The sequence below is a fragment of the Homo sapiens genome, chromosome X (assembly GCF_000001405.40).
Source record: "Homo sapiens chromosome X, GRCh38.p14 Primary Assembly".
Lineage (NCBI taxonomy): Eukaryota > Metazoa > Chordata > Mammalia > Primates > Hominidae > Homo > Homo sapiens.
The window spans coordinates 74739513-74754932 of NC_000023.11; the positions used below are offsets into that span (position 1 = coordinate 74739513).

General features: G+C 41.9%; 1 protein-coding gene across 1 annotated transcript in view; it reads right to left on the bottom strand.

The window, feature by feature from the left end:
* Positions 1 to 15420, bottom strand: part of NEXMIF (neurite extension and migration factor) — a 192597-nt gene that overhangs the window by 6657 nt on the left and 170520 nt on the right. Inside the window, exons 2-3 of the mRNA NM_001008537.3 lie at positions 6060 to 6185; positions 588 to 4965 (exon numbers count right to left, since the gene is read on the bottom strand). Coding sequence (NP_001008537.1) covers positions 588 to 4965; positions 6060 to 6138 — 4457 coding nt within the window. The 5' untranslated portion in view covers positions 6139 to 6185. The remainder of the gene's footprint in view (positions 1 to 587; positions 4966 to 6059; positions 6186 to 15420) is intronic.

A 15420-nucleotide genomic window follows, 5' to 3' on the forward strand; every position in this document is an offset into this window, starting at 1 on the left:
AACAATTTATGCCATCTGAGTTAGTTTTAGTGTATGTCCCACAAAGGGATCATACAAGCTAAATTTGTTAACATCATACTAGATGCCGTATGATGTAGAAAAAGATACAAATAGCATGGGGCACTAGAAAGCCCTCCTATTTGCCACATGTTCAGATTTTGTTTTCCAGCTAATGCTCTTTTGTTTAAATGATCTTGGCTTTTTGTCTACATGACTTTTAAATTCTATTTTTCAAAATCTGTCTTACTGCAAAGCCTTTCACTTCCAAAAATCATTCAAGAGCATATTTTAATTCTATTTTCTTAATATGTAGTAACTAGTGATGAATAGCAGAAGAAGAAATAGCTTTGTTAGAGCTTATCCCTAGCCAAGCCACAACAAAATTGCCCAATCTTTTGGGTGGCTTAAAGGTATAGGGATTTTCATGCACTTTAAAATTTTCTTTTTACTTTGAAAAAGAAGGGAATGGGACAGTTTCTTTCATGCAAATTTTTGCTTTCAAGAGGGAAAAAATGAGGGACTGCGGGCTTAGTAGGTAGTAGGAGAGCTAAGGGTGCATCATCTCAGCCATACTGGTGCAGTATTACCTCAGTTTTTCAAAAGAAGCTGTCCCAGACTCATCCTTGTGGACCTGTTCTCGCTCCATGTGCTTTCCCTTACATTTCTCATCTCTCAGGGCCTTGGAGCTGGATTTGTGACGATACAACTTTTTGTGTGTCGGTCCGTTATTGCCTAAAGTGCTCATGTTACTATACTTTTTATCAAAGAAGGTAGAGCGAGAGTCCTCGTTATAACCAGGCATGTTTGCACGACCAGGATCACCTATTGCTGTTTTCCCATTGCTTTTGCTCACACCCTTGATTGACCTGTGATTCTTAGTGGCTCCTTGGGACCCACTGTTGATCTTTTTCTTAGACTCCTGTGGTGTCCCAGCCAATATTTTGAGGGTTTTTAATTTTAGACTATTGGACTCAGGGGAGTAGAATATGTTGGGATCCCCATGGTGCTCCATGGGTTCCCAAAGGGGCTCTATGGAGGCCATCATGAATCTCTGCACATCTGCCATACCAGAGGCAATGTTGGACAAGATATAGGAAGGCTCCTGAAATTCCCGTTGGTCATCATCCAGAAGGCTGTTGGTGTTGGTGCCCATGCTCATATCACTCCAGCCTGGGCTGCTCTCCTTCCCCAAGGCCCAATCTCCAGAAAGTCCCTTTTGACTTGGCATCTTCATAGAGGCCATAGGGCCACCATGTTGGATACATTCAGCCAATGTCTTCCCAGTGGAGGATATGGTGTTGGTTTGGCTTCCCCCACGGCCAATGCCAATTTGCATTTTCTCTCCATTGATGGCAGCCATGTATTTCCCTTTCTTTGTGGACTTAGGGACCTGGCGGGAGTTTTTGCCAGGTGGTTTTTCAATCCCCTTGTTGTTACCTTTGAGGGATTTTTTCCTGGTGTTTTTCTGAGAAGAGCTTTGGTTCATAGCCCCACTCTTGCTGGGTGAACTTTTCTTTCTTGATTTTGACACTTTGTTGTTGGTACTAATTTGACCAGATGGATCATTAAATGTTGACAGGCAAGGGTTTTTTTGGAGCAGGCTGACAGAATCCTCATCATTGAACATATGGAACTGAAACTGGTGATTATTTAAAGTAAATCCATCCTCCATTTGGACCTGCCGTGAAAGGGTACTGCAGTCCCACTTGATTTTTTCCACACTGTCCAATGGTCCTGGGACACCCTCTTGGAACCCCTTTAGTGTTCCTAGTGTCTTCATACTCTCACATCTGGTAATTTGAGGGGAAAGACTAGGGGTGTCCGGTGGGGACATCTCTGAAAGGGAAGAGTGGCGGAATTTGTCAGGGGTGAAGTTGGATATATCCAGGAGGTCAGTGGACTCCTTTAGTGGTGCTATCTCATCAATGCTTTGCTGGATCACCAGCTTAGGGCTGCAATGGGCCAGGAAGTCATCAGTGATATCATCATCGCCATCCTTTTCACAGGACTTCAAGCTTAAGGAGCAATAATTACTTGAGCTGACAGAGAGTGGGGCCATTGAATCAAAGCTAAAGAGCCGACCATCATCCATATTGACTGGCCCCTGCTGGAAAGGAAAGCAGATCTCTCCATTATTAAAGTGACATAATTGGTAAGAGTCATCAGATGGGAGTTGGGTATCTTGCATGGAGTCATACAGGACCTTGTTGCAATTACTGCCACCACTATTGAGACAGATTGGATTGTATGTTGTAGGTGTGAGGTTATTTTCCATGGAGACTACTTGGGAGGCTCCAAATTCACTGGATTGGGTTGGGGCTATCTCCCTTGAGACTTCAGCCATGAATTCCTGGGTGCCAGAAGTAGCCTTGTTGGGCCACACATTTCTATAGTTGCTTGATTCCATTTTGAAGTTATGAGATGACTGCTGCAGCTCAGAGTCAGAGGATGAGGTGAGCACACAGTCCTGGGTAGGCTGGAGGGGTACAAATGATTTTTCGGTTTGAGTGAGGCTGCCTTCATTTTGCTCTGGAGAATGGTGGCTGAAGTATGAGATACTAGTGTTATTTGACAAGTCAGAAGCATCTAACAATGTCTGCAGATACCCTCCCGGGATAACAGGTATATTAGTGGTAACATTAGCAGATGATAAAGGCATTTCAGAAGAGCATGTCGTTGGTAGAAAAGTGGAACTCTTAGCAGCCTTTGCCTCATGAAATTCAGATAGACGGGAACTGTTTGATGTCCCAGGAATAACTTCATTCTTTAAATTAGCCTTTGAGGATTGGTTTTCCAAGAGAGGGCTCATTTGAACAATTGGCTTGCTTTCTTGCCCAGCAGCTTTGACTTTCTTAGATTTTAACCTAGCTTCACTTTTAAATTTGATTTTATTGAGCACTTTCCTCTCTGGCCCCTTAAACTCTGTGTCTTGGGCTTTGACTTTCACTGAGTCAGGGCCTGTGATGTCATTTAAATGTGATCCATTTGCACAGCTAGGAGCACCCAGAGGTGCTGACTTCAGTGTACCTTTTAGGCCTCCATCTTCTTTATGATTACTAGCGTGCCTCTGATCATTACATAATGAAATCTGTTTACTACTTGCTGAAATTTCAATGGATGGGATTCTTTGAATCCTGTGCCTGTTGCCAAGTTTAGATTTTCGTTTGCGAGCAGGTGGCAGAAATGACACCTCAAAGCTACCTGGTTCAAAGCTTTGCTTTTGGGAAAAAGGTGTCTTGATGGAGTCCGTGTTGGTGTTTCTCTGCTTCTTCTTCTTTTGCCAGAAGCCTTTCAAGGGTGCCAGCTTGGCATATTTGTTGAGCTGATTCTCACTCAAATTCACTGTTGTCTCACTGGCATCCACCTTACCCAACTTCACCAGCATGTTCTTCTCACCTTTAAAGCGATTAATGATGATATATTTGATAATAACAGGGGGCTCCTTACGGGTTACTTTTCTTCTCTTTTTGGGACACCATTCATCATCATCTTCCTCTTTGGAACCAACTGGCAGCCATTCCTTCCTCTCATTTACTTTTTCACCCTCTAGTGAGTCAACATCATATAGATAATCTTCACTGTATCTGACTTTTCTCTTGGCTCGCAGCCCATAGTTCTGTTGGGAGGAGGAGCTGCCAGAATTAGTGTCCCGAGCCATATAGCGACTACAGTCCTTGATCTCACCCATAGCATCATATGAGATCTCAATGAAGGAACTATCATCACTGAAACTCCCTGATGTCTCCAGGGAATTAGCAAGATGGCCCTGCTTTGGATTCTTAAGTTGCTCTACTTCAGTCCCACTGCATGGTTTATTTAAGGCAGGCTTTTCTCCATTATCCTTTCCATCTTTCTTCTCTACACCTTTGTCTTCCTGTCCTTCCTCTTTGCCTTTCTTCTTGTCCAAGTTTTTATCTTCCTCCCCCCAGATGATGCTCACATCAGGGACCTTGAATTGGGAAAAATCACTGCTCTGCTTCAGGGCCCCACTCTTAGACTCTCGCTTGGGGCAGGTAGTAAAGACGCTGGGAAAAAAGTTGAATTGGGCATCTTCCTGCATCAAAAGAGTAGTCTTGTCTCGAACATTGTCCTGAAAGGATTCATATCGAATTTTCAGGGAGCAGACATCACTGCCTAGTGTTGATTCATCATCATCAAACATGTAGTTATCCACATCTTCTTCAGAGAATAGGTTGACAGACAGCTCATTTTTGGAACAGAGGTCAAGCAGTTCAATCTTACTTTCACTAATAAAAGTCTCGAAGTAACCCCAATCCTGATTGGAATTTGCAAGCAAAGCTTCTTCTGTATTGCACTTGTCTAACAGTAATGCCTCATAATAGCTTTTCTGAGCCGGATCCTCCAAGTCAATGTCAGGTTTCTCAGTTTCTCGTCTGTCTCCTGCCCTTGACTTATGCAGGGGGAAGCCTAGGAGCTGGTCTGAGAGCAGCTGCTCTCCATATTTCATATTTTCTCCAGCATTAATACACTGAATCCCTATATCAGAGACTGCACACGTTTCATAATCCCTATTTAGATCACCAACTTTCAGACTGATCCCTGGCTCAGGATCTACTGCATCCTTGGATTCCATGAAGCAGCCTAAGCAAGTCCGACTTGGCTGCATGAGACAGTCCCCATTCAGAGCTGACATGCCTGCAGGCTCCATTATGGCAAATGGAGCTTTCTCACATTCATTGGGAAGTGACCATGTGTTCAGGCCTTTTGCAATGCCAGATGTGAGGGAGATGGCATTCACAGAAGCACTATTAGCAGCATGTTCGGGTGCTTCAATCAGGCCCAAAGGAGAGGGCGGGCTCTGCATACAGGGCTTCTTAGAGGGTAGAGGCAGGAGACCTCTGGGATACATCAGGGTCTCTTTTTGTGCCACCGGTGTAGGCTGGATAGGTGCAGCAGCTTCTAGAGCTGCAAATGACTTCATTGCCACATCCTGGTCCTCTGAGTCTAGAAAAAAGGGAAAGAAATGACAGGAATAAAATTAAGAGTCTTAGACCAGACTCATTAACTCTCTTTCCCTTGATCAGTTTCTGGTACTTGATCTTATTATATAAGCTAAGCCTTCACATCTCTATCTTTACAAATAAAAACTACAACGTTAAAGAACAACGCTGATTTTATATTGAACATTCATGCAAATGAAAAATAATAATTATTTAGGCCGAGTTTCTTCCTCAGAAAAAGGCAAAGCTCTCCTCAGAAATGAGAAAAGAATTGGACTGCTTGATCAATTGGAAAGTCAAGGCTTTCAAGGGGAAAATGCTCAGATGGAACATTAATACTTTTGAGCTACGAGGCTCAGGCCTGTCCTCCAGATCCATGTTCTGGAAGCTCCTAGTGACTCTACAAGTTCCTTTTCTTTTCTTTTCTCTCTCTCTCTCTCTCTCTCTTCTCTCTCTCCTCTCTCTCTCTCTCTCTCTTCTCTCTCCTCCCTCTCTCTCCCTCTCTCCCTCTCTCTCTTTCTTTCTTGTTTTTGAGTCTTGCTCTATTGCCCAGGCTGAAATGCAGTGGCGTGATCTCGGCTCCCTGCAATCTCCATCTCCTGGGTTCAAGTGATTCTCATGCCTCAGCCTCCCGAGTAGCTGGGATTACAGGCACCTGCCACCACACCCGGCTAATTTTTTATATTTTTGGCAGAGATGGGGTTTCACCATGTTGGCCAGTCTGGTCTCGAACTCCTGACCTCAAATGATCTGCCCACCTCGGCCTCCCAAAGTACTGGGATTACAGGCATGAGCCACTGCGCCCGGCCACTCTAGAAGTTCTAAGCCTCACATCACAGCATATTTCTAATTCACTAGGAATTTTGAGGATCTTCATCTGGCAGATATGATTTGGGAGGGCAAAGTGGTCAGATTCAATGCCTCTTAGAGACTCTTATAGCCAAGTTAGATATTTGGTGGAATAAAGTTTACAATTAACATTCATTTCAGAGGCATCCTGGACTCAACCTGTCCCAACTTTGTGGGTACTGAAAATCCATAGTAATAACAGAGGACTACCAGGAGAGATATTAATATACTATAATTAAATTCCCTTACCATTTTCTTTGACCCCATTAATCAGAGTGTTTTCTCCGTTGGCTGAGGCAACAATAGCCTTATCTTGTTGGTTATCCATGAATATAACCTCTTATTGTTTCATTCCAAGTCCAAATGCTGTCCAACCTGCACATTTCAAATATATAATATCAGTCATTAAATTTGTTTTATTTTGTGTTTTATAGGTTATTTCAGCTAGAGGGGTCTTAAAAGGCTCACTGGGATTTACCTGTTTCCAGATTGACTTCATCACTGCTATTGTTTTTGTTTCACAATTTATACCTACCACATAAAGTCAGTTTGGAAACTCACACTCATTCATACATCCTAGATCCTTCTATCACCTCTGTGCCACAATATTATTCAAAACTGAAATCCAAGGAAGCAGACAAACGTATCCCTTCCTCCAAATAGTAATGCATTTAACCTAATCATGGTTGCCTGATTAAGAAGGACACAAAGCAAAGACAAGACTAACCTGAGATAAGGTGTGTTTGTATGTGTGTTTGTGTGTGGCAATTAACTTTATTTTTGTTTGCCTCATTTCTATTTCAAATGATCAGATGCTCTTCAAAAACAAGGCAATTCATATACATACACACATATACATCATATTCAGATTTTCTCTTTCTGTGCCTTAAAATTTGACTGCTAAGGATGAAGAAGGTAGAGAATTCCTTGGTTTCTCGACTTCCAGGACTTTAACTTGGACTTTGACAAGTATTCCTCCAAACTCACAGCAAATTTTTAAAAAATGTGACTACAAAGAAGATTAGATTTTCTGAAAAGGCCCCAGCATCATCTGATATTTTTAGGTCATAGGACATATATCTATCTGTAGCCCTTCATCTCCTGCCCACCTACCTGAGTGGTATTTATGTGCAAAATGATAGGAGATGAGATGGGGGTATCTGCCACATGCCACTACAACATCTAGCCCTCCCCCTGTCCCTAGACCTTCTCCCCAACTGAGTATCTATCCCTTTATTAAAAAGCATATGGTATTGATAGTCAAGCAGCTATTATAAGAATCTCAATTGTATAGTCATTTATCCTAATGCATGCAATATACTCTAAAAAGTAGGTTCAGCATTGAGAAACAGGAAGCAGTAACAGTTCCACGTGATTCAATCTATAAAATATTTTACCCATCTGGGCCTATTCCCTTATCTATAAAATACAAAGACTGTATTAGGCAGTCTCTCAGTTTTAAAAATGTTAGATGACTCTGGGTTTCCCCTAACACTTATATATTAGAATTGCCACATTTTCTTCTCATTTTATATGAGATCTGATTTGATGCATAGGCAATAAACCATGGGTGCCAGGGAAAAGAGAAAATATATGCTTACTTGTATTTACACAGAAAAGGGCTGGAGAGTTTTAAAAGATGGAGAGGAGTGGATAGCAATGTCCAAGTCCCCACCCTTTGTCAAGGAGGGCTCATTTGTAGTAGAACTGAATGAACAGATTGGATAGCTGCCTCTGCTTCAAAGACGACCCTATAAATCAGATGGAATCATATTGCCATCATGGATTACTCTGTGCATTTTTGTTTTGGAGTTCAGTAGAACTTCAGGTATCATTTACCCCTCTTTTGCCCCTCCACTAAGTCCATCTTGGCAGGAACTTGATAAGGGGCAAATTACTTTTAGATTTCAATAATTTAATGTCTTCTTATCCCTTATGTCTATAGTTAACTACAAGCAAGTCCATTTTTATCACCAGGAAGTCCAAGGTATGGAAAGAGAGACTATGACAGCCAAGGTTGTAAAACAACACAATGAGAGATCTATGAAAAAAACCCCCCAAGTTTCCTGACCAAGAGACTAGGTGTTTTTTCTTAAAACACAAAATGCCATCTCCATGATTCTTACCAACTCCAACCCCTGACTAAAACAGGGCTAGACAAATACAAGTTTCCACATGTTACTGATCTATACTTCTATACCCTTTCAGGTAGGAAAATACAGAACAGCTGCCACAGATAAGCATCTGTTATCAGTAAAAATTAATGTACCATGAAATATATATAGGAACAATACATTTAAGTATCAACAATTATCCAAACTTTTTTTTTTTTTTTTGAGACAGAGTCTCATTCCATCACCCAGGTGGAGGGCAGTGGCCCTTCCAGAGTTCAAGCGATTCTCGTGTCTCAGCCTCCCAAGTAACTGGAATTAACAGGCACGCACCACCATGCCCAGCTAATTTTTGTATTTTTAGTAGAGATGGGATTTCGCCATGTTGGCCAGGCTGATCTTGAACTCCTGATCTCAAGCGATCCAACTGCCTCAGCCTCCTGAAGTGCTGGATTACAGGCATGAGCAACTGTGTCTAGCCAATTATCCAGTCTTTTCAGGCAGGACAAGAACACTATGTCAGGGGACATATTAGTGCTGCTGTAACTTTACTCTGGGATGTTATTTCCCTAAGAACATAAATTGCCTCTAATGGAAAAATCTGGCCAAGCACCCAAGATTTATGACTCTGAAGTAAAGGGAATCTTATAAGGTTGAGAACAGAGAGGAGATACACTTTGGCAAAAGATAAAGAAGAGGTAGAGTGGGGACATGGGAGGTTGGATGTATAATTAATTACCTCATAAGTTTGGTTCTATTAGAGTCTATAACTTTTTTTGAAAAGGGAAAACTGAGTATCACAGATATTAACTTAGTGATTATCAATAATTTGGGCCTTTGTTCTCCAGAATTAGTAGGCTAGACCTTGAGCAGACAATCCTTTAGTCCTTTCCTATGATTTTTCAAATCTCAGCTATAAACAGGACAACTAAAGGTATATATTTTTCTACATACCTATTTACTTATACCTTGGCTGCTTATAAAAATAATTTTGGGGAGGAATTATAATTTCTTACAGTTACAATACAAACAACTCTGGGCTTGCTTTAGCTTTCCCCCACTGATCAGCATTTTAGGACAGTAAATTAGGTGGGGTTTTAAAATCTATTTTGAGCTAAAATTGATTAACACTTTTGGAAGAATGTACAACAAATTGCTTTGCTGATCACAGTAAATTACACAGTGTAATGGCATTAAAATAACATTAGCATGGAGATGGTATTTTGAAGCAAGGAAATGCTCCATTAGACTGGAAAAGCAATCCCTCCTATCTGCCCTTCCCCTCAGCTGGGCTTGAGAAAGGCTCATAGATCCTGTAGGCTGCTATCCTCTTCCCCAGCGGCCTTGAAGTCTAAGGTCTCAGAGTCTAGGTGACCCACACCAACATTTGTGTTGAGGATGTCCTTGGCTTTTCCCAACTGGTGAAAAAAATCAAGGCAAGAAAGTAAGTCCTGTTTTTGTCTATGGGTCTGGGGCAATATAGCCTTTGGAGTTTGAGTAGTGCCAATCTCTGGGATACCAGTTTAAATCAATTCATCAAAATTATTAGTACTACCTGTGATCACAGTATTCTATCAAGTACAGCATAGAAAAGACAGATAAATGAGGCTAGATCTCTGTTCTCAAGATGCTCAGAGTCTAGAGGGGGAAAGCAAGCTACAAACAAATTGTAAGTATAATACACTGAAAGAGGGGCAGAAAGTTGCTATGGGAATCCCAAATGGAGGGAAATTACTCCAATTCTAGAATTCTAGAGAGGCGGGAGATTTGGGAAGGCTTCACTAAAAGCAGCAACATTAAGGTGAACCTTGAAGGATGACCTTTCTGGAGGTGAGGATGGGGAAGTTCAGCGGAGAGAAAAGTATTCCAGGCAGAAGGACCTTCATGAAATGCTACAAGTCTCCCTCCCACTCCAGTCTATCTTCTAAACAACTGCTATAGAATCATAGCAAGTTGACAAGGTACCTTAAAACTTTGTTTTGCTTTGCAAAACACTCTCCTCAATCAATCCTCACCTTCTCCAGTTGTATCCTCTTTTCATTCTGTTCACTTCCCCCTATGTTCCTAAATATTCTAACCCTCTCCACTCCCTTAATATTAAACCATTTGTTTTTGCTTCCCTGTGTCTTGCACTTGATATTCTCTCTGTTTGGAATCTCTGTCCCCTTTTCCCATTCCTTCCCTTCCCCTTTCCCAACCTCCCTTTCACCTCTCTGTACTCTTCCCTTCTCAGTTTTTCCTTGACACATTCCTTGATTCCCCACTCCAAACAAAATTAGTCTCTGTCATTCTCTGTATTCTCAAAGAATTTTTATCTCCTCTGTGTTTATCATCTTATACAAGCTTTACTACTTTATATCTGATACCCCCAAAAGACTAAGCACCAACACCCCCAACTCCACAGGGCCTAGCTCACATAGTGCTTATAACATGGTATGTACTTTATAAAAACTGGTTAAACAATGATGTTGAATGGTAGGAAAAGATGGGAGAGAATTTAGGGAATAATGTTTGGCTGAAATAGGTACAAACAAGAAAATATAGTGGAAAGATAAACTGAAATATACTGTGGAGGCCAACTAAATTGTAATTCAGGAAGATGCTGAAGGGTTTTGAGTAGTGAAGAATATTAGGACCAGTGAAAGTGGGAGAGACAGAGGGGGGGAAGATAGGAAAAAATGTTCAGGTGTGAGATGTCAAAAAGATTAGAATTCAGGAGGAGGAAATAGGAATGGAAAGGAGATGTTAGATGTAAGTAGAACTACATAGGTGTGCTGTATAGACCTGAAAGATGATTTAGATGTGACAGGTAAGGGAGCAGTAGTCAGAATATAGAGAGAAAAGACAGATCAAAGAGTTAATAGATGACTGTGAAAGAAGAATCATGGGTGGTTGGATTCCAGACCAGGGTAGTCTCAGAAATATCGGTGCCAGGATCTTCTTGGGAATAAAGCAAGGCCAGTATGAAGACCCATTATCAGGTACAACATGTCTAATGAAGCTGACCAGGACCTTAGCTGTCACACTGGAAAGAAAGCAACTGACAAGCAAGCTGTTACAGATGGGGAATCTTCAGGTTGGGTTAGGGACTGTAATGAAGCAAGGAGATGGTACTGCTATAGCAAATAGGCCCACAGACAGTTTTCCAAGCTAGCCCAGCTAGCTCTGTCTAGTCTGATTCTTCCCAGTCTAGCTTTAGTCAGAATAATGGATGGCAGAATCAGCAACAGTACAGGGAGCACATTCTAATCCATAACTCTGCTTGGCTAATTCTATTTTCAGATATCTATCAGGATTTTAAGACCCTAAGCTAGAAATACGGAGGTATGATGATGTTAAGTACAGGAAACATGCTTAAATGAGCAACGATACAAGTTTTAACAATATTAAGGGTGAGAAAGACATCAAGAAGAGATTACTACAGCTACACTGTAAAGAATTCTATATATCTCAAAAGTATGGTATGACTCTATTAAATATTTCCTCTCTCATGATAAAGATTCCAAAATTCTGGCTGGGCGTGGTGGTTCACACCTGTAATCCTAGCACTTTGGGAGGCTGAGGTGGGCGAATTGCTTGAGCTCAGAAGTTTGAGACCAGCCTGGGCAACATGGGGAAACCCCGTCTCTACAAAAAATACAAAAACATTAGCCGGGCATGGTGGCACGTGCCTGTAGTCCCAGCCACTTGGTGGGCTGAGGCAGGAGGATTGCTTGAACCCGGGAGGTTGAAGCCACAGTGAGCCAAGATCGTGCCACTGCACTTAAGCCTGGAGGACAAAGTGAGACTCTGTCTCAAAAAAAAAATTCCAAAATTCAAAAGATATGCACAAAAAACTCATATAGAAGAGGGGATACTGTATAATGGACAGAGTACGATCATTAGCTAGGTGTCCTCAGACAAGCTCCCTCCCTTCTCTGGTACTTAGTTTTACTAGCTATACAATAAGGGAGAAAAACTAGATTATATCTAAGGGTTCTTTTAGTTCCTAACAATCTAGAATTCATTTAATTTTTGTCTCTTTCTTTCTTGCTTCTTTCTTCTCTCTGTCTCTCTCTCTTTTTTTTTTTTTGAAACAGAGTCTGGCTTTGTCACCCAGGCTGGAGTGCAGTGGCATGATCTCGGCTCACTGCAACCTCCGCCTGCCACTCAGCCTCTCGAGTAGCTGTGATTACAGGCTACCATCACGCCCTTCCTTCCTTCCTTCCTTCCTTCCTTCCTTCCTTTCCTTCCTTCCTTCCCTCCCTCCCTCCCTCTTTTCTTCCTTCCTTCCTTCCTTTCCTTCCTTCCTTCCCTCCCTCCCTCTTTTCTTCCTTCCTTCCTTCCCTTCCTCTTCTTTCCTTCCCTCCCTCCCTCTTCTTTCCTTCCCTCCCTCCCTCCTCCCTTCCTTCCCTTCCTTCCCTTCCTTCCCTCCTTCCTTCCTTCCTTTCCAGAGTCTCGCTCTATCCCCAAGGCTGGAGTGCAACAGCGCGATCTTGCTTCACTGCAACCTCTGCCTCCCAGGTACAAGCGGTTCTCCTGCCTTATCCTCCTAAGCTAATTTTTGTATTTTTAGTAGAGGCGGGGTTTCGCCATGTTGGCCAGTCTGGTCTGGAACTTGTGACCTCAGGTGATCCGGCTGTCTCGGCCTCCCAAAGTGCTAGGATTACAGGCATGAGCCACTATGCCCAGCCTATTTTTTCGTCTTTAAAAATTGAAACTAATTACATGTACTACAAAAAATTGACATGCAAGAATAAATTCTGATTTAAGTTTTGTGTGATACTGAGATGAGCCTGAGGGAACTCTTTAATCCCTTCCATCTCATGTCCTTTCCTGTATGCCTCTGATTTTTATACACACATACCCCAATCCTGTCAGGGGTAGCAAGTAGGGTGCTGCTGGCGGCGACAGGGCTCCGTATGTATCACCTGCCTTCATTTTTGGCAGCCACCAATCTAAGAGGGACCCTCTTTGCCATCATGTTCCTAGGCAGAAGTGATAGTGGCTGCATTTGTGTCCTAGCTCAGTGCCTCAACATTTGGGTCTCCCTTCCCTTTTCTTTCTCTCTGTACCGGTTTTATCTGTACCATTTTTTGTGACATCACTCTAAAGAAATTTTCAAGAAGAGTAGGTGCATAAGACGATGAATCAATGAGAAAGCATGTACAAATGCACTGTATATATTAAAGCACTATACAAATGCCAGGAAACAATATTCATTAAGACTGGAATTAGGGGTAGAAAGAACAAGCAGAGGCACTATTAGGTTCAAGTCAAGAATAGCCAGCCTCCTCACTAGTCTTAACTTTTAAACCTTATAACTATAGGTAGCTCAACTTCACTGACACATCTGAGTCCCTTTGCCTTTGTGAAAGAATTTTATTTTCAGGACTTCTGCCTGCTTTCTTTCTCAAATCTGAGGAAAGAGTGACAGAAGAGTATAATCACTGTTTCTCAGGTGGGGTATTTCTTTCTAAAGACAGTCACTTTCTCCTTGACTCTAGATCCAAATGGGCAGTATAATGGTATATTAGGAACAGAGAGATCAACCTGGAAGACCCATTTGTGTGTGGAAGATGGCGAGTCCTCTGAAGAACCACACCACTATAGCCTGGCCCTTTCTGAGAATGCATTTATATAAGGACTATATCCTAATCAAAGAGTGCTTTTGTTGCCAGGCAGCACTGAGTTACATTTAATGCTTGAGCGCAATAACTTTAGGCTAAATTATCTTTTGACTTTCTCCATATGGTTTCTAATCTATTTTCTTATTACTAATTTATCCTGTTAACTGCATTTTAAAAAATGTTATTACATTCTTTTCAGAAATGTAATCACTAAACCACAGGGCTGGAAGGATCTTGGAAGATAGTCTCATCCCAAACTCCCCATTTTACAAGTGGGGTAACCAAGTCCCAGAAAGGGGAAACTACTTGCCAGTGTTACATAGTGATTTGGTAACACATACACATTCTTGGATGTGGGATGTATGTTGCCTTCTAGTCCAGAAATATCCCCATAGCACCAAGTTACTTACCAAGTGGAATGTAAGTTATCAATAAAAATAACCACTAATCAGAGGGCTACTAACTTTTTGTTTGTCTTTATTGGAGGAAATGCTGTCAGAAATAAGAAAGCTGTTCTTACTTATCCCAAGAGGAGAAGTGAAAAGTAGAGATAAAGCCAAAATCCATCTGAGAAGTAGGCACTGCTCTTCCAGCCTCTGGTTCTAGAGCTCTGTATTGTCACCCCAAGGCATACCCACCCAAGCAACACATTTCCTCCTTACACACACACACGCACACACACACACACACACACACAGGACATTCATGTACACTCAAAAAAATTATGGTGACTTTCTTCTTCCATCATGGAAGCAGGATGCAATATAAAGGACTGGAAGTTGGAAGATGAAAAAAGCTGGGAATTCTTTGGAAGTGCTAAAATAAATTCAGCTATTTAATAATGACCAGTTAAGATACCATTTGAAATTTTGGGGGGAGAATAGAGGGACTAGGGATACCATGACAAGTACAAAAGTTTCTTTATTTTTTATTTTTTGAGATGGAGTCTCGCTCTGTCGCCCAGGCTGGAGTGCAGTGGTGTGATCTCAGCTCACTGCAACCTCGGCCTCCAGGGTTCAGGTGATTCTCCTGCCTCAGCCTCCCGAGTAGCTGGGACTACAGGCATGCACCACCACACCCGGCTCATTTTTGTATTTTTAGTAGAGATGGGGTTTCACCATGTTGGCCAGGCTGGTCTTGAACTTCTGACCTCAGATGATCTGCCCACCTCAGCTTCCCAAAGTGCTGGGATTACAGGCGTGAGCCACTGTGCCTGGCCCAACTTTCTTTCTTTTTCTTTTCTTTCTCTTTTTTTATTTTTATTTTTTTATTTTTTTTTTTTGTGAGACGGAGTCTCACTCTATCACCCAGGCTGGAGTGTAGTGGTGCGATCTCGGCTCACTGCAACCTCTGCCACCTGGGTTCAAGTGATTCTCCTGCCTCAGCCTCCTGAGTAACTGAGATTACAGGCGCCTGACACCACGCCTGGCTAATTTTTGTATTTTTAGTAGAGATGGAGTTTCACCATCTTGGCCAGGCTGGTCTTGAACTCCTGACCTTGTGATCCACCCACCTCGGCCTCCCAAAGTGCTAGGATTACAGGCGTGAGTCACCGCACCCAGCCTTCTTTTTCTTCATATATATACATATATAAAATTCCAAGTGATCATAGTTTTCTTTTACTCATTTCTGACTTCATTCTAACTTCCAAAGCAGAAAACAAGACCATAAAGAGATAAACATCAAATTAATTACTATATTTCAGAACCCCTAAGAATTATAGAACTATCTATTCATTTCCCTACAGATCAGATATTTTTAGGTAAGTACACAAGAATAATGCATAAATGGTTCCAAGTAAATTGAAGACAATGCATACTCAAATACAAAACATCCCATTAAAAAAAGTGATACTACTGTCCTGGCCCAGGAAACAATCTTGGTCCCACT